The sequence below is a fragment of the Homo sapiens genome, chromosome 8 (assembly GCF_000001405.40).
Source record: "Homo sapiens chromosome 8, GRCh38.p14 Primary Assembly".
NCBI lineage: Eukaryota > Metazoa > Chordata > Mammalia > Primates > Hominidae > Homo > Homo sapiens.
In genome coordinates, this window is record NC_000008.11 from 10406408 (window position 1) to 10432944 (window position 26537).

Here is a 26537-nt window from a genome sequence, read left to right on the forward strand (position 1 = left end):
TCCAAGTACAGAAAGGCTAAGTGACTTGAGCAAGGTCATGCAGGAAAGTGGGGCATCCTTTCAGGTAATGAAAGCAAAGAAGGGGAGATGGGTGTTGGGGATGTTCAAGAATAGGCAGGCTGGGGGTTACATCCAGGGTGTTGGTGCAGACAGGAATGGGGGCCACAGAGTCCTGGGTGTATTGGAGGCGTCTCCTTGGTGCTGGCCAGTCTGTTGCTCTCTTTTCCCTCCTGGCATAAGTTAAACGGACAACCTACTTTCAAACACAAAAGGTGGGTTTTCACAGATAAGCCATATCTCCCCTGCTCTGTGCTTGTTCCTTTGATTTCTCCAAAAAGTGCAATTTTCCATATTTCTGAAAAGTCATGTTGTTTGGCCCACTTTCTAGGCCCTAGGAACCAAGATGAGGCCCATGCTAGGATGGCCCTGAGTCTTGCCTTGTCAGACGTGATCTTCTCTTTTTTGAAACAGGCCTCACTCTCTCAACCAGGCTAGAGTGCAGTGGCATGATCTCAGCTGCCTGTGGCCTTGATCTTCTGGGCTCCCTGTGGCCTCAGCCTTCTGGGCTCATGTAATCCTTCCATCTCGGTCTCCCAAATAGCTGAGGCCACAGGTGTGTGTCACCACACTTGGCTAATTTTTTTATTTTTTGTGGAGGTGAGGTTCACTGTGTTACCCAGGCTGATCTTGAACTCCGGGACTCAAGTGATCTTCCCGCCTCGGCCTTCTAAAGTGCTGGGAGTGTAGGCAGAAGCCACCATGCCCAGCCTAGACTATGTGACATTTTCTTTGTGTTCTTGCAAATGTGATGAACAAGAACTGGCATCTCACAACCAGAGGTGGATGTGAAACGCCCACGTTCTCACCATCAGACTTTCATCAGCTCCCCTGGGTCCTGGGCAGGGTGAGGTAGATTTTAGGGTCATGACATGAGTCAGTAAGGGCAGGTGGAGGGTTGTGGCAGCAGTCCAGACAAAGGTGGGTGATGGCTGAGCCTTAGAGGTGGCGATGAGGGTGGAGGTGGATTTGTGAACCATTCTGGATGAACTGTCAAGCTTTGCTTTACAATTAGGACTTGCTATGGACATTGGATGGGGAGAGTTGATGATGGCAATGAAATGTGTAGCCTGGAGGAGAGGTAGCAAATGATGCCGTGTGCCAAGAGAGGGGACAGCGAAGACCAACCGCTTTGGGAAAGGAAGGAGAATGTCTCCGGGTTTGCACGGGGTGCGTTTGAATTTCTGGGGTGGGGTTGTGAGTGGCAGGATTCTGTAGGCAAGAGAAGAGAAGACTCTGGATCCCAGGAAATGGTGGGGCACAGAGTGAGGCACAGAGCAGGAATTGTCATTGGTCTAAACACCCCAGCACCTGAAGTATAGGATAGCTTACATTTTAATCAAAATTCTTGCTTGCTCCTTACATTTTTATTGTAATGCCTATTCTACCTGGTAATCACATTCTGAAACCTGATAAAGTATCAATTCTGAGAATTTCATTAAGGATCACATCAATCTTTAAGCTACACTGGAGATGCACCGAATCTTTGAGTAGGTTAATAGGATTGCAAAGAAGAACCAATAGGTATAAACTTCTTAGAATTTCTATTAAAAAATTGACAAGCTTCGACACCACATTCTAATTTTGTTTCAAGAGTAATCACGAGACCAGGAGCACTAGCAGGAAAACTGTGTCACCACAGACAGAACTGGCTCACTGTCTGGAAACAGAGGCCAGGGAGAAAGGGTCGCATCCCTGGGACGAGATGTGCAAAAATCGGGCTTCTCAGCATCATTCATTAGCACCACTCTGACTTTACATCTGCATAGTGACATTTAAAGAGGAACATGGGCTGGGCGTGGTGGCTCATGCTTGTAATCCCAGCACTTCGGGAGGCTGAGACGGGCAGATCACTTCGGCCCAGGAGTTTAAGACCACCCTGGGCAATGCGGTGAAACCCTGTCTCTACCAAAATTTTTTTTAAAAAATTAGCCAGGCATGGTGGCACATACCTGTAGCCCCAGCTACCCAAGAGGCTGAGGCAGAGGGATCGCTGGAACCCAGAATCAAGCCTGCAGTGAGCTGTGAGCATACCACTACAATCCAGCCTGGGCAACAGAGCAACACCGTATTTCTAAATAAATAAGTAATAGAGGAGTAGGTAATAAAAAAATCCAGGTTTTAATTTAATTTGTTTAAATGTAAGGGGCACAAGTACAGTTCTGTTGCATGCATACATTGTGTAGTGGCGAAGTCTGAGCTTTTTTAGTGTTAATATCACCCAAATAATGTACCTTGTACCCATTAGGTAATTTCTCATCCCTCACTCCCCCACCCTCCCACCCTTCCAAGTCTCCAGTAACTATTATGTTCTTGCATATTTAGCTCCCATCCGTAAGATAGAACATGCAGTAGTTGACCTTCTGTGTCTGAGTTATTTCACTTAGCATAATGGCCTCCAGTTCTCTCCACATTGCTGCAAAAGACATGATTGTCTTCTTTTTAATGGCTGAGTAGTATTCCATGGTACATATACGCCACATTTTCTTTTTCCGTTCATCTGTTGAAGGATGTTTAGGTTGATTCCATATCCTTGCTGCAGTGTGTAGTGCTGTAATACACATCTGAGTGCAGGTGTCTTTTTCATGTAATGATTTATTTTCCTTTGGGCAGATGCCCAGCAGTGGGATTGCTGGATTGAATGGCAGTTCTATTTTTAGTTCTTTGAGAAATCTCCATACTGTTTTCCGTAGAGGTTGTGCTCATTTACATTCTCACCAACAGTGTGTAAGCATTCCCTTTTTTCTGCACCCTTGCCAACATCTGTTATTTTTTTGACTTTTTAATAGTAGCCATTCTGACTGGTGTAAGATGATATCTCATTGTGCCTTTGATTTGCATTTCTCCGATGACTAGTGATGATGAGCACTTTTTCATATGCTTGTGGGCCGTTTGTTTTTAAATGAAGTTCATCTCTCCCCTCATGAGAAAGGAGATCATGTAAGGTCTCTTGTCACACGGGGACATGGAATTCTTTTTAGTTAAGATGGCAGATTTGGTGAGTGGTTGAGAACCATGGCTCCAGAGTCAGACTGCCTGGGTTGAAATACTGCCTCTCCTCTCCTTTGCTAAGCACCCTTCTTACCAAATGCAGCAGATACTACTGTGATCTCTAGAGAGGACGTGATGAGGATAACATCAGACAGCATGTGTAGAGCATGCAGGGGAGCCTGGTACAGGGTGAATGCATACGCAGCATCACCCCTAGGCCCTCCTCGCCCCACCAACATGCACGTGCTTGTCCTTGTCTCCCAGAAACACAGGACTTTCACTTGGGTTGATTTAATAGACTCAATCAAGATATTTCTTCATAGAAGCTGGGCACAGCGGCCCATGCCTGTAATGTCAGTACTTTGGAAGGCTGAGGTGGGAGGATCACTTAAGGCTAGGAGTTCGAGACCAGCCTGGGCAACATAGACCCTGTCTCTACAGAAAATAAAAAGAATTAGCCTGGCATGGGTGGCACGTGTCTCTAGTCCCAGCTACTTGGGAGGCTGAGGCAGGAGGATCGCTGGAGCCCAGGAGTTTGAGGCAGCAGTGAGCTATCGTGGTGCCACTGCACTCCCCCCTGGGTTACAGAGCAAGACCTTGTCTATTATTTTTAAAGATATTTCTTCGTAGAGCAAGTCAAAGGAAAAAGATGATCCTCCGAGCCTGGGTCCAGGATCTTCCCATAGTGGTCTTCCCATGGTCCCATCCGTTGCTGTGGGTTTGTGACATTGTGACATGGAGTATGCATGTGTGGCGGGGACGCTTGGCCAGGAGCCACCAACACTCTCGTATGGAAAGTCTGCCAACAGGCTAGGTCTTCCAAGGACCAAAAATCTGGGTGGCCTGTGAAAAACCCAAGTCACTTGTTTGGGGGGTGCCGGTGGAGGACAGGAAAGGGTGGAACAGGATGCAAGTGGCCAGGCCCTTGACGCTCCTACTTCTTTGGGCATAACCCCCATCACCTCATAATTCCCACAGTGTGACATTCCGTCACATCGCAAAAATAACCAACACAGTTTAGAGCAGTGCTCCTGAAATAGAATCCATGTGATGTATTATCTCAAATACATGATTTCACCTCTTCCTCAAAACAGCACTGAGAGGTAGATATCTTATCCCCCTCTTACAGAAGAGAAGGCCAAGCCTCAAGGTCAGCTCCTGAAGGTCATGCTGTTTGGCAGAACCAGGAGAAGAGCCCAGGCCCCTCTTGTCCCCAACCTCTATGCAAACATGATCTCCTGGAGAACTCCTGGAGATATTTTAAGGAGTGTTTGATACTTAGAGATGCACAGTGCTGCTTTCAGTGTAGAGTGCCATTTTTGTAACTCCAGTTAACATGGATTTTTATTGTCTGAACTGGAAAGCATGCCAATTATATGCAAATTTAAATTGTATAATTAGCTTATGTTCTTGAGGGAGTTCCAGTTCTTCCACTGGTTCTGAGCCTGACAAAAAGGAAAATTATGCTTTGGCAAAGAACACCTATGGCCTATTTTGAATTCTCCTCCCCCACACCCATTTTTCCTTTCTCCCTCCCTCCTTCTCGTCTTTCCTTCCTCCTTTCAAAAAAAAAATCCTGACTGTACTTCATTGCTAAGCAGCTTAAACAGCCCGAATGAGACCCCTCCATCTGACCTCCACTCAGGTTTTACTTTTCCTCTTTGTTATTCTCTTGGCAATTAGAAGAACCGAAGAGGCCAGAGTCCTCCGAAGACGCCTGCTTGGAAGTTGAGATGCTGTTGCTGAAACTGCTAGAATGCCAGGCATGCTATCACCTGCAGCTTTGAGACGTCACGCTGACAGTATCACAGGAAAACAGCCTTTTGTGGGCCGTCCTCTGTGTGTTCACACCGTGTCGTTTTTAAGCTTTAAAGGAAACTGACAAAAGCTTCTTTTCTCTCTGTCTTGAGCTTCACTGCGTATTCTTAACCATGTGGAGCTGGGAGCTAACGCATCACAGCCAACTGTATCTGGAGTGCATTTGCTCATATAGCCCTTATTTTATTTTTTAGTCTTATTTTTAGTTTCCTTTGAATATAATAATAAAAAAAAAAAACCCAATCATTGAATTCTTAGCTTCAGCCAATATAGTGTGAGGTTAGACATATTGCAGCCCAAGGGAGAATTTCTGCTTGCAAGCTGGTCAGCCTGTTTGCAGCTGACAGATGTAACCTGCCCTAGGGCAAGAGAAAGTCTCAAGGGAGCTTTTAATTTCTTAATATTGAAATGAGCACAACCTTTATTGTCTTAATCAGTGAATAAAAAAAATAAAGTTGCTAAGTCTCATTTTTTAAACATGGCGTAAGAGGATTTTAAGAAATTACAATTGCTTTTTAAGCTGCTGTTGAAAGTTAATTTTCTCTGTGTTCAGGAAGATTCTGCCAGCAGCTCCTAGCTAGGTAGTCATATTCCAGTTAAGCAAAACTTTCCCAGGGGTGGCGAACAGCCCTGTTCTGTGGACACCGCCCCTGGGAAGGGAAAGGGTGTGTGTCGTCCACAGAGTGGTTTTACTTTGTCCTTGAACTTGGTTTTTATCACATTTCATAAACTCAGAATACAGGAGTACTCATTTAAAATTACAGCAGAAATCTTCTGATGCAAACTGCATTCTTTTAGAATATATGATACTTTAGGCAAGGGCCGTATTAACATTTTTTTCGCCATTCATAAAGAAGGGATTGATGAATGATAGTGAATAGCCCCTATACAGTCATAAGGAAAATGTTTCCGTTTTTAGTCTGAACAAATAATTGTATATGAAAAAATCTGATGTATTGCAGCTAGTCGTTCTTAAGTGTTTCTTAATTTAATCCAAATTTGAACCACGTTTCTTTAAATTAAAAGTTCCTCAATTACAAGGGCCACAGGCTTGTCAGTTCTGGTTCCCTGGTACTTTGTGTAATGCCCGAATAGGGACACAGTAAATGTGTGCTGAACCAACTGAAAAAGTTGCTTTCAGAGCTACATGGGAATGAATGTGGACCTGCAGAGATATTACATGTGATATAAACTATCGAACATGATGTTCCAGGTATAGAACGAAGATGCTCAACGGGAGCATACCAGAATCATGGGACAGGGGTTACGCGTTTGAAGCCAAAGCATAACTTTGGAATATTTAGAGAACCCTCAAAATTCAACAATACAAGCAAATCACCTGATTAAAAAATGGACACGAGATTAGAACAGACACTTCACCAAAGAAGTCCCTTCACCTACAGGATGCCTTTGTATACAGAAGGCAAATAGGAACGTTAAAAGGTGCCCAGCATCATTAGTCATTGGAGAAATGCAGATGACAGCCACGTTGTGATGCTACTCTACAGCAGTTAGAATGAGCAAATCAAAGAATCGTGACAATACCAAGTCCTGGGAATGACACAGAGCAATGGGAACTCTCATGCATTGCAGGGGACTGAGGTGGGGAGCACAAAGTGGCATGATCAGTTTGGAAAACCATTGGAAATTTCCCATCATTTAATATACTTCCACCTACTGTGAGCCAGCAATCCCAGTCCTAGATTTTTACCTACGAGAAATAAGACGACACAAAAACCCATTCCCAAATGTTTACAGCAGCTTTGTTCATAATAGCCAGAAACAGGAAACAACCTAAGTGGCCTTCAGTTGGGAAATGGAAACACCACACTGAGGAATGCGTATGCCCAGGAAGGCCCTGATCTCGCCTGTGGCTGCCATGAGGCCCTGCACAAGGGAAGAGAAGAAGAGAAGGCCGAGTGGAGAACCGTGGGGTCCCTGAAGCTTCCTGTGCTCTAGCGCACACACAGCCCTCAGCAAAGGTAGGAGTCTGGTGCTTCCAGGCCTGTAAGGAATTCGGTGCCTAACCATTCGGTGATAATTAGCTAACCACACTGAGACTTCAATGGCCACACCTGAAAGAGAAGACAGACTTTACAGAATTAGTCCAAGAAAGTCACTGAACAAAGGAACAGCAGCAGCAGAAGCAACACCACACTGTGGGGCAGGACATCTGATTTCCAGAGTTGCCACATTATTTTTTAAATTGTCTGATTTTCAAGAAAAAAATATGTAACAAAGAAACATGACGGTATCCGTTACTAAACAAAGACTTTAAATCTGCTGTTATAAAGGTGCACCAAGAACTAAAGGAAACTGAAAAAATTAAAAGAAAATGTTAGAGTAATGCCTCAACAAATAAAGAATATCAGTAAGGAGAGAGATATTAAAAAAAAAAAAAAGAACTAAGTAGAAATTCAAAGATACAATAACTTTTTAAAAAATCGCCAGAAGGGCTGAGTTGGCGGAAGAAAGAATGAAACTGGAAGATAAGTCAATTGATATTATCCAGTCTGAGGAACAGAATTTAAAATGGGGGAAAAACGGTGATGGTTACATAACCTTGAAAATATTTTGAAAACCACTGAATTGTAAAGTTTGAAAGGATAGGTCAGGCACAGTGACTTATACCTGCGATCATAGTGCTTTGGGAGGCTGAGGCAGGAGGATTGTTTGAGCCCAGGAGTTTGAGACAGACCCAGGCAACATAGCGAGACCCCATCTCTACAAAAAATAAAATAAAACTAGCCAGGTGTGGTGGTGTGCTCCTGTAGTCCCTGCTACTTGCGAGGTTGAGACAAGAGGATCGCTTGAGCCTAGGAGTTTGAGGCTGCAGTGAGCCGTGATCGTGCCACTGCACTCCAGCCTGGGTGGCAGAATGAGACTCTGTCTATGAAGAAAAAAAAAACGAATTTTATGTGAACTACCTCTCAATATAAAATGATTATCTGGGGGGATGGGCAAGAGCACAGTTTAGAAAAGGCTCTGGAAGACACAGTCCCAAGAGACATGTGTAAGTAAACAGGAGGCATCCTGCTGACTTAACTTCCTCATTTTACGGCTGGAGAAACTGAGACCCAGATGAGTGAAACAAACTATCCAGTGCTTCTTACTTAACAGAAACAAATGCCTCCAACCATTCTGCAGTCGGTGTGACCCACCATCTCAGTTTGCCAGGACTTTCCTAGCGTTGGCACTGAAAGTTCTGCATCCTGAGACACCCCCAGCCCTGGCAGCCAAGACACTTGGCCACTCTGTCAACCGTCTGCAGTGAGACTATTCTTTCTAGTGGCTCTGAATTGCTGCAGTTCTTCTGTGAATGAGAAGCGGTGACATTCAGAGGAGTCCCATTGCCCACTGAATTCAGTGCTCTAAGCTTAAGCATCTGCTGCTATGCTTGAAGTTCTTTTCTATTCAACCTTTTGGAATGAAGGCTCTTTCCTTTTAACAAAATCTGCATTTCATCCCCAAGGTGAAACCTGCTATCCTTGGCTTTCCCTGAAAAGTGAAAAGTGGTTTTCTTTGTGTACTAAATGCTAAGCATATAACAAAAATCAGAAGTTGTAGTTAATTGATTGCAGATATGAAAAAGCAGATTATAACCCCTCAGAGATCTATACAAAGACAGGGACAGGGAAAGAGAAGGAGAAGATCCATGTCTCCCGAAACTGAAAGCCATGAAAAGAAAACTCGTAGAGGAAAAGTCACTTGAATTATTTTTAAAAGCCAGCAGACCTCAAAGGAAAGCCCAAATCAAGAGGAAGCAGCAGTCCTTGAATGCATGATGGAGGGAAACCATCCTGCGGGTGGAGGGTGCACTGTCTGAGCCAGAGCAAATGGGTGGTTGCACATTTCAACTATAGGACCCTGAGTTTCATGCTCTGGCCCCAGGAGGGTGCAGCTTAGACCTGCAGCCAGCCCTGTCCAGCCTGGTGGGTCCCCACCATTCACGATGTGCGGTAGAGAAGGAAGGACCCATTCCCCTTGCATCTAGGAAGTTATGCTTGGAATTTGTGAGGTGTGGGGAGGTGAAGGACGACAAGGAAGTAATGGGAAAACAAATGACGGCCACCCACTTCCTCTGGGTTCCCACTTGAGCTCAGCCTTACAGACCTTGCTGCATGCAAGCAGGTGAGCCTCAGAGGCACCTGCTGTCTTTGCCTGGGTTCACGTGGTTCCTTCAGTCTCCTGAAGTGGCCCCTTGTACCACTGTGATTGCAGGCGATGGAAAATCAGGGGGTGTGCAGCTGGGTCCCCAGAGACGAGTACGCAGAAATAGGCCACAGCTTGATGCCTCCAGCAGCCTCTCCATCCACCTCTGCTTCCATCTTTTCCTGTGGTTGAGCCCCAGGGTCCCATCTGCTGGGTCGCCCTCACCCTGGCCTAGCCCACCTTTCCAGTTTATCCTTGATTTCACCTGACTTGCCCTCCCTGCACTCTCCTCCGGACCTGTCAGCACCCTCAGATACACCTCATTACCCCCAACCCCCAGCCTCCATGTGTTTGGTCACGGAGTTTCTTCTGCTTGGAGCATGCCCTTCACACCCTACTCCTGCCTACTGTCAAATTCCCAGTTCAGTGCCCACCTCCTCCTGCAATTTCCCAGCAGGATTAACCTTTCCTTCCTCCATGCCCTCAAAGGACTGTTTGCACCTCCATTTCCGCACATCCCCTCTGCCTCGCGTGGTGGATATTCACAGTCCCGTGTGTCCTCTCTCCTCCAAGGGAATTCTGACCCTCTGGGTGGGGGACAGGAGTCCTCGTCACTCCCTGGGGTGTGGCTGTTGGTGTGAGGGAACTTCTCCTGCCTGAGCCTGCTTCCCCAGCACCTGGCACGGCACCTGCTCACGCTGGGCACTGCAGACACGTCGTGGGAATTGCCCGTACACTCTTCTGAGAGCACCTCGCGGGCAGGGCTTGTGCTGTTCATCCCTGTGTTCCTCGTGCCTAGCCCGGTCCTTGACACACAGCCAGTGCGCAATAACAATTGTCGAGATTCATTCATGAAGTGAAGTTGGAGAGTTTAAAAACTTCTTCACAGAGAAATCTGCTCGCTTCGGCTGAACTGTGCTGACTTCCCAACCCTTCGGTATCACACCCCATGCCCGGGAAAGCCCAGGAAAACCAACGCAGGAAATAAACGATTCCATCGGGCCGTGGTGCTCCCAGCGTGGGTTTGTCAGTGTCCTTATGTGAGGGCCCAGGGTGTTGGAGCCATCACTGGCTGGAGCATGGCTGGTTACTGTGGCAAAGGGTGGACAAGTAGGGACGCTTCCGCTAGTGCTTTATAGCGTCTGCCTGGAGACCACCCATGTGACTTTCACTCACAGCTTACTGGCCAAAGCAGGTCCCGTGGGTGACCTGACTTCAAAAGGAGGGTGAGGGAGTTGGAGAGCACTTGTGCCGTTGACCACACTTGCCTGCAAGAGCAGAGCTGCTTACACTCTAACCTCACATGGGATTCGGTACGTCTGGGGAAGGGCCCAGACTTTGCATTTCTTGCAAACTTTGCAGGCTGTCTGAGGAGCAAGGGCAGAGCTGTGGAGCCAACAAGCTGAAACAAACTCATTCCTTCCTCTCCTTCTCCATCCTCCCCGTCCTCTGCAGAGACACAACTCAGCTTGTAGCTCTGTCGTTCTGCATTGCAAACCAAGAGAAATATCCTTAGCAGTCTGAAGACACTGTGATTTACCTCGAGGGTGCAGAGGACACAGAGGAATAGATAATGAAAGCCATTAGCTGTGTGACAAACCTGCAGAGTATGGGAAAGGACGGAACACAGGAGCGCTGCAGCTGTACGAAGAAGCCCCATCCGTCCAGCTAGAGGCCGTGCATTTGCATAAGCAGGTCTCTTAATGGACCAAGTTAGATCTAATTGTGTCACCTCTTTCTCTCCTTTCCCTCCCAATGAGTTCACAAAGCTGGGAGGGTCAGTGAGCTCCGATGGGGGCTTGTAAAGGCTTCAGCCCCTTTGAACGCGCTCCTTGTCATTGTCACACTGTGGTGGCCTGGGTTTGTCCTCCTTGCATGTGCCAGCAGTGATTGATGACTCACAGGGGCAATTCCATTGTCCCAGAGCCTGGAGCTCCTGTTGCTCCGGGGTCCTCTTTGGTGTTGAAGAGAAGCACTCATCCCTTCGTCAGAAGACACACACACACACACACACACACACATACGCACACTCCATGTAGGCTTAGTAAGCCCAGCCAGTCAGTGCCCAGTCAGCCGTCCCCCTTCCTTGTGGCTGAACCGCAGGAGGTGGGGGTGCATCTGCTCTGCACCACTCAGCCAGAGATGCAGGAGCCTCTGCCCAGCTCAGAATAGATGATGTTTTCTTACTAGTGGCTTTATTTAAAAGCCATCCCAGTCATTTCACATTTTTTTTTTAAAGTTTTGATTGACATCTATTTGGTCAACCTGTGCTCCCTATGGACTAAAATAGCTGACTGGGGCATTGTCTGGGCTTATTAAACCTGCATGTTGTGTGTGTGTGTGTGTGTGTGTGTCTGTGTACACGCACGTGTGCACACGCAGGACAAGCATAGCATGGAATTTGATGGAGTGGATGTGGAGGGAATTGAAGTGGTCTCCGTGCAGAAGGGGGAAGGTAGGAACCAAGTGAAGTGCCTTGTACAGGCGTCCTGCTGCCGCTAGAGGGCGAAGTGAGTCTAGAATCCACATGCCCGCGTCCTGCCTGCGAGTTTTCCCCTAAAGCAGCTGTGCTGGCTCCCGGACAGCAGCTTCAAGTTGACCTCTTAGAAGCCCGACCCTAATTTCCGATGGGCTCAGGGTCATAAATTAGATTTCTGTTCTAGGAAACTAATTTCATACCACCACAATACTTTAAAAAGTGATCACAAAATGAAATACACATATACGTTTTACAAATAATTACATGAAAACCTAACACTTAAGGCTAAATTCCTTTGGTGGGTGTAGGGGATGGGGATTGCTTGGAGAAGACATAATGAGGCTTGCAGTCTGATGAGGTTTGAACTGCAGGTACCCTCTTTCTTTCCTGTGACTTTCCCTTTAGCAAGCACAGCCATTCCTCCTTGCCACAAGGGCCTTCAAACTGTGATGGAAATGAGGGTCATCTGTCTTGGAAATATGCACCGCTGAGTGGATCTGCCTGCCCATTTCCGGAGCCCTGTGCCTGGCGACTGCTGGGGGATGGGCAGTTGCAGTGGTGACTCTGGAGGGGCAGCTCAGTTCATAGGATGTAATCATGGTTGGATGGACTCCAGAGGGTCATAGGATCCTTTGAAATTATAAGCAAGTATTTGATTGTGAGTTTATCTGGGTAGAGTGTCCAAAGCATTCACTGGAGTCTCAAGGGAATCCATGGTCCCCAAGAGACACTATTGTACGTTCAGGTTCCTTTCTAGTAATACTTTTTTCTAAAAAGTGTCTGTAGGTCAGTTCTTCTAAGGACTTCTAGAGATAGTAGTGATAGTGGTACAACAAAGTGAAGGTACTTAACTGTACACTTAAAAATGGCTAAGATAGTACATTTTATGTTATGTGTATTTTACTACGACTAAAAAAAAAAAAAAAAAAAAAAACCAACAAAAAAAAAAAACACCAACAGGGAGAACCACTTGAGCCTGAGAGGTCAAAGTTGCAGTGAGCCATGATCACGCCACTGCACTCCAGCCTGGGTGACAGAGTGAGACCCTGTCTCCAAAAACAAAACAAAACAAAAATATGTCTATAGGTCAGTCCTACTAAGGCGGGAGGTGAATACATACATACGGCATCCTTGTGCGCACAAACACAGGGTGCACATGCAGGCCCCTCCCTCCCACGCATGTGCCCACAGGTTCATAGGCATCAGCATCTCTAGAGCCAGCCCCCTCCACTCCCTCCCGACCCTGCTCTGTAGAATTCCTATACAAGGTTCTTGTGGATTTGTATCATCCCTTGCACCTCTCACGTGTCGCAGGACAGAACACTCGGCATCCTGGGGGCTTCCTTATCCCACAGCCCCAAATTCCGGGAACAGCATGGATGTGGGAGGGGGCATGGAATCCAGACCTGGATTCTTGTCCCGGACCTACCCCTCACCCTTGTGAATTTGAGTAAGGCATGTGAATTTGAATAAGATCCCTAACTGCTTTGGGTTTCCTGGTGGGTAAAGTGAATTCAAGTAAGGTCTGTGAATTTAAGTAAGGTCCCTAACTGCTTTGGGTTTCCTAGTGGGTAAAGTAGAATAACGGCCCCACCCTGCAGGATGAGTAGCCTGATGACGTGAGATGGTGAAAGAGAGGCACCCTGCAATCCGTCTCTGCCCCATTAGAGGGGCCCTGCAAACTCCTCCTGACATCCATTAGAAAATTGACACTGTACCTGGTGCTTAAAACGCAAATGCTGCTTTCCTGGCACTCTGAGTATGTCTCCTGTCATCTCCTAGAATCAGGAGGTTACTTGGGAAGTTGGTGGCGCTTGGTGTTTAGAGCGTATATCTCTTTGGGTGGAGGGCAGGCGGGCAAGTCTAGCTCTCTTGCCATCAGGTGACCCAGGACAAGCTCTCTGTTAGCTTTCTGTCTTTATAATGGCATCATGGCCACTGGGATCAGCTGGGTTGGGCAGGAGAAAGAATGGCCAAGCCATATGCTTGGGGCAAGTCCTTCTGCTGTCACGTTCCTTTTGCAGTTCTGTAGAGGAGCACAGGGTCAGCGCTGGAAGCTGCTGATACAACAGGCTGGAGCATAACGAGGTGTCTTTGTGGGGTGTGCTTGTCATGTTCCCAGATGTGTATTATTTGACAGCTAAAGAAACAAAAGCAACAAAATATGGCATGTACGTAGAGTGGAATAGTGTGCAGCCTTAAAAAGAAAGGGTATTCTGACGCATGCCACCTCCTGGAGGAAGCTTGAAGACATTAAGTGAAATATGCCAGTCACAAAAAGACATACTGTGGAATTCCATGTATATGAGGGAGCTAGAGGAGTCAAATTCAGAGGAGACAGAAAGCAGAATGGGGGTTGCCCGGGGCTGGGGAGTAGGGGAACAGGGAAGTTTTTTTGTTTTTTTTTTTTTCCTATTTGTATTTTTATTAGAATTATTGAAGGAGAGGGGAGAGGTGCTATTGATAATATTGGGGCTTCTCATCTAAAAATATGGGGAGACTCTTTGAATCCATTTGTATTGTATAACAAACTACCCCAAAACTTAATGACATAAAACAACAAATACGTCTTATTTCTTACAGTTCTTGTGGTCTGGAGAGCCCATCTGAGGCTGAATAGTCTTAGGTGGCCTTTCCTTCATGTTGGGGTCTCACCTTACACAGCTAGGATGATGCGGGCCTCTTTCCATATGGTCTCGGATCTGCAGAGTTACTAACCCAGCCAGGTTCAGTGGTAGCACAGGTGATCCTGGCAGCAAGAGAGGGCAGCCCCCACCCCATGTACAAGTGCTTTTCATGCCTATGTTAGTATCACATATGCTATCGGGGAACAGGGAAGTTTTATGCAGAGTTTCAGTTCAGAAAGATGAAAAAGTTCTAGAGATAGTAGTGATAGTTGTACAACAATGTGAATGTACTTAACACAACTGTACACTTAAAAATGGCTAAGATAGTACATTTTATGTTGTGTGTATTTTACCACAACTTAAAAAAAAAAAGGAGAATCACTTGAGCCTGAGAGGTCCAAGCTGCACTGAGCCCTGATCACGCCACTGCACTCCAGCCTGGGTGACAGAGTGAGACCCTGTCTCCAAAAACAAACCACCACCAAAAACCAAAGAGATGGCCTGTGAAATAAACGTCACGTGTTTTGAGTCCCGGGGATGTGAGCTGGGTAGGGAGAGTCTGACTCACATACAGGCTGATCCATGTCTAGAGCTCCTTTGGGTATTTTATAACCTACTGGGCTCCTGGGGCAGGGCGGCATCCTTGTCTAGCCACCTGTGGGAGTAGTCAGGAGCCAGGGTTCAGGGCTGGCCTCGGCTGCTGACCGGTGGCTGTGGTCATGCCTGTCCTCTCCCCCAGGCTTCCCTGTCCTCAGCTGAGAAACAGGAATAAGAAGCCTACATTTTAGTCAATGGAAGGTTCACGTGAATAGAGGGTGGAAGCCCTTTGGAAACACTGTTGTTCTGGACAAACACAGGGTCCTGGTCTCCACTCTGGGCTCTGGGTCTCAATGCCTTTCTAACCTTGCCCACTGGTGCCCACTGCCACCTGTGCTGCCAGGAGCCATCCTGCATTTCCCAGGGTGGTATGAGAGCGTGTCACCTCCATGTAATAGGCTGAGACACTCGGGCACTTGGAGAATCTCGGTGATCCTAATCGTAAGCTTGTTAGCAGGCTGCAGTCAGCAGAATGATCACATGTTCATTACATTTATTACCAGAAAGGCTCTTTACTGGCCGCCCTAGAAGGACGGATGGGACCTGCTGTGCCCGGCTGGCACGCCTTCCATAAGGAGTGACCCGGCTGCTTTTCGTGCATCTGTGGTGTTCCTATGAGTCGCTGGAGCTGGAGACCGAGCTGAGGTGGATGAGGCCTAGGGGGCTGGGGGCTCCATCACAACTTACACATGCCTACCCGCCTTCCTGCCCCAGAGATCTGCTGCTCAGCCATAGAAATGGGGATTCCATGGGGGAATGTGGAAATGGGGGCTACTTAAGGAGGGCAGGATAGGCAGGCTAGCTTTCACCCCTGGGTGGGGATTTTTGGGAAATGGAGCCAGTACTCTGCAGTAGTTAAAACACGCCAGGCAGGCTGTGTCGTGGCTCACACCTGTAATCCCAGCACTTTGGGAGGCCAAGATGCGAGGATCGTTTGAGGCCAGGAATTTGAGACCAGCGTGGACAACATATAGGGAGACACTGTCTCTATAAAAAAATTAAAATTAGCCAGGTATGGTGGTGTACGCACTTGTAGGCCCTGCTTTTCTGGAGGGGCTGAGGTACAAGGATCGCTTGAGCCCAGAAGGTAGGGCCTGCCATCAACCATGGTTGCACCAGTGTACTCCAGCCTGGGTGGCAGAGCAAGACCCTGTCTCAGCAACAGAAAAGCCAGGCAGGGCATGGTGCACTTTCTGTGCCCTCTCTGCATTCCTCGTCCTAGCACAGTGAACTAGGTAAGGGGCCCATTTCACAGGCAGAAAAGCTGAGTCCAAGGAGAAAATGACAACAGAAGGAAGGCACAGGAGGCTTCCTGGGGTCATTGAGGAAGAGTCTGTGAGAAAAACACAAATGACCAATTCTGTTAGGTGACCTTCCAGAAATTCCCTGGGCCAGGTGTCGCCCCACATGTGTTACTGTATGCAGTCCTGCTGACTTCTTTCTAAAAGGTCAGCAAGACACACACACAAAAAAATGCCACAAGCAAAAGTCAAGATACTTGGAGTCAGTAAGAGAGAGAAAAGTTGCCGGGAGCTAGGCTCAGGTCATTCCTCCCCTGAAGTGGAACGTGGTAGGGGCATGTGAGACTGGCTGTCAGTACAGCCCTGGGGGTACCTGGCCCCACAGGCTGCAGTAGGGAGCTGGGCCGGGGCTACCCTATGCAGAGGCAGGCCCTGGGGTTGAGCAGCAAGAGCACCTCTTTCCAGGCTTTTGAACCAATCTAGGCAGTTACTTCAACCAGGCAAGTCCGTCATGACCTGAACTCATTCTCCATCCCCAAAAGTGGCCCCATAGGGCCTGGAGGATGAGCACAGTCCCCTGAGGGCACCTGGGTCTTGAGGCCGGAGCGCCACTGCCCTGCCTCCCTCTGTCCAGCACAGTGTTTCTGGTGACATCCCACTGTCACGGGTGCAGCCTCCTTATTGGAAGGCGCCTAAAGATTCAGTAGGTGATGTGGGCAGTTGTCTCGGCAGTCACGAATGGTCAGCCGTTTTTATGGGTCCTCCCCATGGACGACGGGAGAGGGGAGAGGCCACCAGGCTGCGCATTACCTGGGTCCCCACCCTCTTCCTCCTCTCCAGCTCTCCTGACAGTTCTCTCCTGCCTGCTCCTGAGGGCCAATGAGAGGCAGTAAAACCGAGATCCGGATCTAAGGCGTTCCATCTGCTCCAATTCGTTAAGGAAAAGTAGATGACCACAAGCATTGGTGTGTCAGCCATGATCAGTAACACGCTACCTAGGAACCCCTGCCCCATCACTGACTGGGACACCTGGTGTGTGTTGATAGTGCAGGAAGGGGGCTCAGGAGACTGGCATGCACCCATGCCGGCACCTGCATAGCTTGGCCCCGGTGCCAGGTTGACCAGTGGACTTGGGGTGGGGCGGGGAGGGGGGGTGGCAGCAGAGGAACCATCTGTAACCCAGAGGTGACAGTCTTCGTCCCCTATCTCCCCCTGCTCCTGCACCACCCCACTCTCCCTGCAGAAGAGCAAATGGGCTTTTTCAGGAGCCGTGGATGACAGAGAGGCATTCTTCTGTGCTCCCTGCAAGGACACAGCACCACAGGGCCACCATCTAAAGACTGAACCTGCCCATGGAACTGGCCAGGACTCTGTGACACGGAAAGTGGCTGCCTGAGTCCGTCGTCCCCTTCTCCCTCCCACCATTCCTTCCCAGGCCCTAGAGGAGGTGCTGGGTCTTGAGGTAGCAACAGGGACCCAGGTGGAATCCAGAAGCAGAGAGAATCTCCAGGAGATCCCAAGAATCCATAGTTCATTTTCTCATTCATTCATTCATTCATTCATTAATTGCACACAGTGCACAAAGCCCCGAGATGAGGGAGAGACACAGACAGTCCTGGGTAGTGGAAGTGGCTTGGAGAACAGAAGGGTTTTTGTAATGCAGCGTCATCAGCGCTGTCGGGCATTGCGATGCCACGCGAACATAGTATGTGGAGCAGCTTCTGCCTTCAAGAAGCGGGCAGGTTTCATAGAGGTGGGGACATTTGGTCTGGGTCCTCAGAGATGGATAGGAGTTCCTGCGATGGAAAAGAGGAAAGGACATTCCTTGGAGATCGTGTGCAAGGGAATGGAACATTCGGGAAACAGGTAAAAATGAACAACACCAAAGAAAATAGTGCGCAGAGGGGAAGGAAAGGCTGAAAAGGTAGAAGATGGTGAGGGAGACGATGCTGAGGGGTGAATCAGGGAGAAGGGCCTGGGGTGGAGCGGGAATGGGGAGAAGGCCCGGGGTGGAGTGGGATGGAGAGAAGGACCCGGAATGGAATAGGATCGGGGAGAAGGGCCTGGGGTGGAGCAGGAATGGGGAGAAGGCCCGGGGTGGAGTGGGACGGGAAGAAGGACTCGGGATGGAATAGGATCGGGGAGAAGGGCCTGGGGTGGAGTGGGATGGGGAGAAGGACTCGGGATAGAGTGGGATTCGGGAGAAGGGCCTGGGGTGGAGAGGGACAGGGAGAAGGGGCCAGGGTGGAGTGGGATCAGGGAGAAGGGTCTGCGGCGGAGCTAAACTGGACGGGGAGAAGGGCCCGGGGTGGGTTGGATCGGAGAGAAAGGCCTGGGGTGTTCTGATTCGGGGCCAGGGAGAGGCCCCCTCCTGGGTTAGGGGAGGTGCTGGGGCAGGCCCAGATCTCCCAGGCTCCCTGGTGAACAGTCAGGGCAGTGCACTCTTTGAAGATCGCCAAGCCTGCAGGGCCCTGGAGGGAGATGTCATGATTAACTTAATGCTGTCACTTGTGCCGCACACAGCGGGGCCCACCCCGGGGGACAGCGAAGGAGCAGGGGGGCTGCGAAGCCCACTGAAATCAAGACGTGAATCTGAACAGTGGCGGAGGGAGACCTCGCAGAATGCATGGAGTTGTCCGAGGGGAGTGACTTGCAAGTGAGGCAGCGGACGAAGGGGGACCAGGAAGACACTAGATGTGACCTTCCGTGGTCCCTTTCCCCTTCTTTCGCACCTAGTCTCTTTTTTGTCCTTTCCCTCAGTTTTGGCGGTGGGTGGGGGGATGGGGGAGAGTGCTGGGAAGGACAACCGAAGCCTGCAGATTGACGCCACGCTCATCGCAGGCCGGTGGCCGCCACCTCTATCCGCCACCCGACAGGACCCGTCCATGAGGTCCCAGGCCCAGGGCGGTGCAGAGGCGTGGGTGGGCTGCGGTTTCCCTGCTCGCCTTGGAGGTTTTTCTTAGTGAAGTGTCTGCCATCTTGTGGCTGAGGCTGGTACTGCCGAGGCCCACCGGCAAACCTCCCTTCCGGGCTCCCCAAGGGGGTCCCTGGGCCTGCAGGTGGCTGCGAAGGGAGGAGGAGGAGGGGAGGTGGGCAGTGGCGCTGGCCTCCCTGCGTGGACCCACTTCCTCCCACGCTGTGCTCAGAGAATCTTCTGGAGACCGCAGCTGTGCCTGGGAGGCCATCCTTGTGCCTAGGAGGACAGGGAAGAGGGTGGATCTCAGACACAGGCAGGCTGGGAGGTCTGCACAGGTGTGGCCATAGAACATGGACGCCTCCAGTACGCAGGCACAGGCAGCTCAGGGCCGGGAGCGAGGCCCGTCTCAGCAGGCGGTGTCAGCCGCGGAGTGGGTAGGTCCTCTGAGGACGATCACACCTGTGGGCAAGAGCACACCCGGGCTCTGGGCCAAGTAAGCCTGTGAATCCCACTGGCGTTGTGAACCCGGAGCCCTTGGGATCCGATTTTTTATTTGCTATTTGGATACAGCTGTAAGAGATGACAGATTATTTTACATCCCTCAGTTCTCCGAACTTGCCTTGGACCAGGAATGTCAGGCCCTCACCGTGCCTTTTTCTCTTCTCCAAACTCTCTGGTGCTGCCTGGAGCAGATGGCACCCCCCACAGACGTCGTCCTTATTGTTGTCACCAGAATATTCCATTTCCACAGCCACCTGGCATCCCAAAGCCTTCCTTCAGTGGGCAGCCTCTTCACAGGCAAATGCTAGCGATGGTTCAAGTCACACGGCCAGCACATACTCCATTTCCAAGGAGGTCATTGCTAACTCTAAATCTACCCCTGTTAGTTAGCCAACCCCACGTGCTCATTCTTAGAGAGGTTCTGTTCCCTGAAAACAGTCTGGAGCCAAATGCTGTGTGAGCTGGGGCCCGGTCATGGAAACAGAAAACTTCCATTCCGTCAAGCTGGATGGATTCTACAGAAGGAATTCGGTGTTTACAGAATCGTTAGCAGGGCTGTTCGCGTGAAGGTCAGGGAAAAGCACCCCAAGATTTCAGGATACCAAGAAGTTACTGAAATTGCCAAAAGTCATTGCTGATGGCATTCCACGGACTCTCTGGAGAGGGCCAGGAGGAGCTGGCAGAGTCTTGGGTCTGCTTCCTGCAGAGTCCTGCGCTCATCCTCACAGCTGCGCCCTGCAAAGAATAGCTTCTTCTTTTACGTAGCCTGCCAAATTTCGTGTGAGTTTCTCTGATTGGTGGAATCTGAAGCAGGGCCTTGCTGGCAGCAGAATCTGGGGAATGCAGTCTGCGAGCTTTCCGCCTGTGCGGTACGAGGGTGAGCTGAGAATGTCAGGGACCAAGGCACAGTATCTGATACACACTTTTAAATATGGGTGATAATAATAGGACTTCCTTCCCGTGGCTGTTGTGAGGCTAAAATTAACATGTGTGAAGTCTTTGCACAGATCATGGCATATGGTAGACCCTCAATAATTGCTAGTTTACAAAAAATTGTCAAAACTGACATTAGAATGGCTCCTCATTCTCATTCCTAACCCCTGCAAGAAAACTGGCTGCCTCTGAGCTGGCTGGTCTAACCCACCCGTCTTGGCGGGGACCCTGCCCCTTGTCGTTCCGGACCTGCTGGGCCTTCTGCTGGCTCAGACGGCGAAACAGAGATGCAGGAAATAAGTGACGTTGCTCAAGAAAAACCTGACGCAGTGAATCATGCTGAATATTAATATTGGATGCACTGTGCTTGGCAGACTTGAAGACTTCATCTCACATGGACCAGTGGACAGTCAGAGTGTGGTTGGTCCCCTCGTGAAAACATGGGTCCTGGCTCTGCTTTGCAGCTCTTTACTGAATGGAGGCAGTGAGAGTGGGTTGAGCCTCTGTGGCCGTGTGCTCACATGCTTCAAGCAGCCTGCAACAGGAAAGAATTAGGGCACAGCTGAAATCCAAAGGGGAGAAGAAGCAGGCTGAAATCCACGGGGAGCAATGTCTATTTCTTAGTCTGTCTCCTGCCCCAAATAGCCCCTCTCTCCTTTCCCAGCTTGTGTTGATGCGTGTCTTTCCCTGGCAGCAGATGTCACCGGGACGTAAACTAGGACGCAGAGGGTGGTGATGAGCCACAGGCCACATCCTGCCCTGCCCTGACTCCCCAGGCTCCCTGGCCTGGAGTTCAGAGTACAGACCCCAAGCGACCGCCTGCTCACCAGGACGTGCCAGCAGGGTCCTTCTCCCCAGAGCCACAGCGAGTGAGGGGACACTCTGTCTATCCTGGGAGTGGGCTGGGGTCCTGTTCCTGAGCTGGTGGGCAGATGCGATAGTGCCAGGTAGAGCTGCAGCCATTCTGTCCATCCCTACCCTGTCCACCCGTTTCATTCCCTCCCACTGTGGCCCTGCTGAGCCCTCTCAGGGACATCCATTTACCCTCGGGGACAGCCAGGGAGCCATGCTTACCTGCTGTTTCCCCTGGGAGAGCTTTGGGGCCAGTTTCAAACAGACCCACAGCGTCCAAACCAGGGCCCCCAACATGCACTTGGGATGGCAGGGGTGTGGGGGTAGAGTGTAAGTTACTGATTTAAAAATCTGATATAAACCTGATTTCAGTTCCCAGTCAACTGAGGCACAGCAAGGTAAGTCCCTGCCCAGCGTCACTCCACTTGGAATGCGGAGAGCCCGGCCTAAAGGGGACCCACTGCACATCCCAAGCCACGCGTCTGCTCACTGCAGCCCTGGCCCCTCAGTGCCACCCCTCGCAGGTGCTGTCTCTCTAGCATGGGAGCTGATGGCGCCTTTCTGTGTCCCCACAGGTTCTTTCAGAGCACGGCTTCGGCCCCATCACTACCGACATCCGGGAGGGACAGACTTTCTACTATGCGGAAGACTACCACCAGCAGTACCTGAGCAAGAACCCCAATGGCTACTGCGGCCTTGGGGGCACCGGCGTGTCCTGCCCAGTGGGTATTAAAAAATAATTTCTCCCCACATGGTGGGCCTTTGAGGTTCCAGTAAAAATGCTTTCAACAAATTGGGCAATGCTTGTGTGATTCACAATCGTGGCATTTAAAGTGCACAAAGTACAAAGGAATTTATACAGATTGGGTTTACCGAAGTATAATCTATAGGAGGCGCGATGGCAAGTTGATAAAATGTGACTTATCTCCTAATAAGTTATGGTGGGAGTGGAGCTGTGCAGTTTCCTGTGTCTTCTGGGGTCTGAGTGAAGATAGCAGGGATGCTGTGTTCACCCTTCTTGGTAGAAGCTAAGGTGTGAGCTGGGAGGTTGCTGGACAGGATGGGGGACCCCAGAAGTCCTTTATCTGTGCTCTCTGCCCGCCAGTGCCTTACAATTTGCAAACGTGTATAGCCTCAGTGACTCATTCGCTGAAATCCTTCGCTTTACCAAATCTAGACATACATAAGGGGCTTTCTCTCCCTTTTCAGCCCTCTCTGTGCAGAGAAAAGATGTGAGTCCGCTTGATGAATTCTAATGCTTTGCTTAGAGCTATGAGAAATGTTTGTTTTAATAAAAACCTACAGTCCAATAATGCCAACTGCCTGACATCTCCTCTGTCTTTGGCTTGCTTAGGTAGAATATTTTTAAGTGCTGTAAGATGAATTTAAGAGCTCTAAACAGCTTGGGAGGGAAAAAGCCTCAGAGCCGTTTACCTCCAAATGGGAACAGTTCGGATGAAATTTTTGGTAAACATGCACACCTCTAGCTCCTTGCAACCTAAGTAATAGTAGTTGTTCTCCAGGTGCCTGTCGCATCCCTCACGTCACAGGCTGTTCTAGTTATAGCAGACCCCTTCAATCCCTGCCCTTAAGAACCTTTACATTCCAGACAAGGAGTCATAAACATGGAAAGAAATGATGAAATAAGATGATGTCAGGTTCTGATGAGGGATGCGAAGATGATGAATGGGCTAGGGCAGTCAGTTGCGTCTGGGGGCTGTGAGATCGTGTTCAGGGGTGTTTTAGCGAGGTTGGTCACGGAGGCCTTCGCAAGGTGGTGAGACCTGATGTGTTAGTCCCTTCTCACGTTGCTATAAAGAACTGCCCGAGACTGGGCAATTGATAAAGAAGAGAGGTGTGATTGGTTCACAGTTCCACAGGCTCTACAGGAAGCATGATTCTGGCATCTGCTTGGTTTCTGGGTAGGCCTCAGGAAACTTAGAATTATGATGGAAGCGGGAGGGGGATCAAGTCGGGGTGCCACATACTTTTAAACCGTGAGATCTCAGGAGACCTCCTTCAGGAGAACAGCACTGAGGGATGGTGCTGAACCCTGAGAAGCCGCCCCCATGGTCCAGTCCCCTCCCACCAGGCCCCACCTCCAATACTGGGGATTATAATTCGACAGGAGATTTAGGGGGGAACACAGATCCAAACCATATCACTTGAGAACGAAATGAACTAAATCAGTAGTCCCCAGCCTTTTTGGCACCGGGGACCAGTCTCATGAAAGACGATTTTCCCACAAGTGGGTGGTGGGAGGAAGGGGGATGTTTTTGGAATGATTCCAGCACATCACACTTATTGTGCACTTTATTATTATTACATTGTAATATATAATGAAATAAGTATACAGCTTATCATCATGTAGAAACAGTGGGAGCCCTGAGCTTGTTTTCCTGCAACTAGATGGTCCCATCTGGGGGCAATGGGAGACAGTGACAGATCATCAGGCATTGGATTATCATAAGGAGCATACAGCCCAGATCCCTCACATGCACCGTTCACAATAGGGTTCACACTCCTATGAGAATCTAATGCCACCACTGATCTGACAGGAGGTGGAGCTCAGGAGGTAATGTGAGCAATAGGGAGCGGTTGTAAATACAAATGAAGCTTCGCTTACTTGCCTGCCACTCACCTCCTGCTGTGAGGCCTGGTTCCTAGCAGGCCACCGACCAGTACCAGTCCGTGGCCCAGTGGTTGGGGACTCCTGAACTAAATGATGCAGGACCTAAAGGAGGAAGCATGTTGGGAATACACTAGTGGAAGTGGAAGCTATTCCATCAGTAGAGAGAACCCTCAGTGAGGCAGGTGGAACCAGGTCACAGAGAGCCTTCTATAGGATGACATAATGGGCTTTTTAGTTTATTCTATTTAATTGGGCAGCATTGGAGCTTTTTACACACTTTCTCCCTCATTTAGTTTTAACCGGAGCAACTGGTTGGCTGGGGGTATGATTTGCTTGTAGGAAGGTGGATGTGAGGTAGAGGTAATGGGATGAATTGTGCAGTTTTGGCCACACAAATTTGAGATGCTCCTCGGATGTCCCGGTGGGGATATGGAGCAGGGCAGTTGGTTGCATGGGTCTGGATCTTGGAAGGGATCAGAGGAGGAGAAATTTCAGAATCCCCAGCATATAGATGGCGTTTGAGGCCACGGGACCAGCTGATATCATTTAGGGAGAGACCGGAGAGAGAGAAAGGGTTTGAACATTGAGTGCCGGGGTGTTCTGACATGCAGAGGTCTGGGAAAGAAGGAGCAAAGGAATTGGAGGAGTGACCCCTGAGGTAGGCACAGGCAGCGAGTGTGTCTGTCCTACAAGCAAGTTGCTTGTAGAGTCTGGGGAAAAGCTTAGGCCAACTTCCATGTTCAAAGCAGAGCGAACTAAAACTGATGGGGCGTCCAGCCCTTCGAGGAGGGATCTTGCAGTGTTTCAAGTGCCACATCCCTTGAATCTTGCCCTAAGCCTTCCCCAGAAGGAACCGGGATCTTTTACCAAGGTGACTCTGTACTGGTGAAATGGAAATAGCCCAGGCCTTCTAGGAGTTATTACCCACTGCTCCTAAACGTGAAAGACCAAGGTCCACTGCAGAGTGGGGTTTATGAAGACCAGGTGACAGATGGGATCTTGCTCCAAGTCTGTCTCTCAGTGGGTCCGGTGGGTCAGAACAAGCCTGAAGTTATTTCCTCACTCCCAGAATGCGTAGTGTGTATTAGCCATGATTCCAGCTTCTGCAGCTTGATCTGTCAGTATCCATTCACCCCACGCGCATATGCCCCTGACCTCCTGCCTGCCCCCTCACCCCTGCTTCTCACTGGGAGGAGTCTTTCTCTTAGGGGTGCAGGTTTATTTTTGTTTTTGTTTTTTTTTTTTTTTGAGATAGAGTTTTGCTCTTGTTGCCCAGCCTAGAGTGCAGTGGTGCGATTTCGGCTCACTGCAACCTCTGCTTCCCGGGTTCAAGCGATTCTCCTGCCTCAGCCTCCCGAGTAGCTGGTATTACAGGCATGCACCACCATGTCCAGCTAATTTTGTATTTTTTGTAGAGACAGGGTTTCTCCATGTTGGTCAGGCTGGTCTCGAACTCCCAACCTCAGGTGATTCACCCACCTCGGCCTCCCAAAGTTTTAGGATTACTGGTGTGAGCCACTGCACCCGGCAAGGGTGCAGTTTTTTAAATACAAACCAATTGATCCAGAGTTCACAGCCCAACCACCTCCTCTGTCTGGCTCTCACACTCCAGGCCGCTCTCCAGCTTTCCTAAGTGCCCCAGGCCAAGTGCTTGACAGCTAGGGACAGCCCCTGTGCCCCAGAGCTGCTGAAATTTTTCACACGCGCCTGTCCTGAGCCTGTTCATTCTGCCATTCCTTCCCATGGAAACCACAGTAGAGGCTCTGTCCACAGTTTCCACCCCCCTCTGCTCCAGTTCTTCCGCTTCTCTTGGGACCTGTGAATAACAAACTGTTAACAGCAGCCATCTCTAGGTCTGTTGGCCTTATTAGACCTAAATAACAATACAGCCTATTAAAACATCATGAGATAGATATACCTAATAACTGACAAAATCGCCATTTTAGCTTCCTGATCCATGGAGTAAAGTCTCCTGTACTCCCCCCTCTCCCAATATAGTGAATAAAACAATACCTTCTCTTGGGGAATTTCAAATTTTGGTGGCACCAGTGGCAAACCCAAATGATGCAGGGGTGGGCATTGCTGCCTGACCCTATGTTGTCACCCTGTTTGGCAGATGAAATACTGTTTCTGTCTCCCAGTGTTGTGTCATGCGTGGGTTTCATTCACATGTTCTCAATGTGTTCTTGAAAATCATTATGGAAAATACTTAATGAGCCGGGCCTGGGCATGGTGGCTCGCACCTGTAATCCCAGCACTTTGGGAGGCCGAGGTGGGCGGATCACCTGAGGTCAGGAGTTCGAGACCAGCCTGGCCAACATGGTGAAACCCCGTCTCTACTAAAAATACAAAAAAATTATCCAGGTGTGGTGGTTGGCACCTGTAATCCCAGCTACTCAGGATGCTGAGGCAGGAGAATCACTTGAACCTGGGAGGCAGAGGTTGCAGCGAGCCAATATTGCACCACTGCACTCCAGCCTGGGCAACAAGAGCGAGACTCCATCTCAAGAAAAATAAATAAACAAAAATTGAACTGGACAGTTCACTTAGGGACATGTTGCTTGTTTAACGTCTTAGAGCTTCTGTTGTGATGGCCATGGCGTGTCATTCTACTGCCCCTGTTGACCCTGCCACCCCCAACTTCTAGCAGAAAGTGCTGGTAGATTGCCACGCTCTTTCCTGCCAAGCCCAGGCACACTTTCAGAATTCCTCTACACCAAGGACCTTGGGAAGGCCCTGC

General features: G+C 49.4%; 1 protein-coding gene across 6 annotated transcripts in view, besides 5 other annotated features; it reads left to right on the top strand.

Moving 5' to 3' along the window:
- MSRA (methionine sulfoxide reductase A) overlaps nucleotides 1–22484 on the top strand; it is a 374600-nt gene extending 352116 nt beyond the window's left edge. For 5 of the 6 annotated variants that reach the window (NM_012331.5, NM_001135670.3, NM_001199729.3 and 2 more), the window contains one exon: nucleotides 21741–22484. In NM_012331.5, coding sequence (NP_036463.1) covers nucleotides 21741–21905 — 165 coding nt within the window. In that variant the 3' untranslated portion in view covers nucleotides 21906–22484. Of the gene's footprint in view, nucleotides 1–4731; nucleotides 5329–21740 lie in introns of those variants that run through there. The other variant, XM_011543822.3, reaches the window with a different exon arrangement.
- Nucleotides 9348–10210: an enhancer, noted in NCBI's record as "H3K4me1 hESC enhancer chr8:10273265-10274127 (GRCh37/hg19 assembly coordinates)". NCBI's record gives its function as "activates a minimal SCP1, AML or CMV promoter by ChIP-STARR-seq in primed H9 embryonic stem cells {active_cell/tissue: H9 hESC(primed)}" and the evidence as "EXISTENCE:reporter gene assay evidence [ECO:0000049][PMID:30033119]".
- Nucleotides 11705–12227: an enhancer, noted in NCBI's record as "OCT4-NANOG hESC enhancer chr8:10275622-10276144 (GRCh37/hg19 assembly coordinates)". NCBI's record gives its function as "activates a minimal SCP1, AML or CMV promoter by ChIP-STARR-seq in primed H9 embryonic stem cells {active_cell/tissue: H9 hESC(primed)}" and the evidence as "EXISTENCE:reporter gene assay evidence [ECO:0000049][PMID:30033119]".
- Nucleotides 16510–17010: an enhancer, noted in NCBI's record as "H3K4me1 hESC enhancer chr8:10280427-10280927 (GRCh37/hg19 assembly coordinates)". NCBI's record gives its function as "activates a minimal SCP1, AML or CMV promoter by ChIP-STARR-seq in naive H9 embryonic stem cells {active_cell/tissue: H9 hESC(naive)}" and the evidence as "EXISTENCE:reporter gene assay evidence [ECO:0000049][PMID:30033119]".
- Nucleotides 18944–19455: an enhancer, noted in NCBI's record as "H3K27ac-H3K4me1 hESC enhancer chr8:10282861-10283372 (GRCh37/hg19 assembly coordinates)". NCBI's record gives its function as "activates a minimal SCP1, AML or CMV promoter by ChIP-STARR-seq in primed H9 embryonic stem cells {active_cell/tissue: H9 hESC(primed)}" and the evidence as "EXISTENCE:reporter gene assay evidence [ECO:0000049][PMID:30033119]".
- Nucleotides 19456–19965: an enhancer, noted in NCBI's record as "H3K27ac-H3K4me1 hESC enhancer chr8:10283373-10283882 (GRCh37/hg19 assembly coordinates)". NCBI's record gives its function as "activates a minimal SCP1, AML or CMV promoter by ChIP-STARR-seq in primed H9 embryonic stem cells {active_cell/tissue: H9 hESC(primed)}" and the evidence as "EXISTENCE:reporter gene assay evidence [ECO:0000049][PMID:30033119]".
- Nucleotides 22485–26537: the final 4053 nt, after the last annotated feature.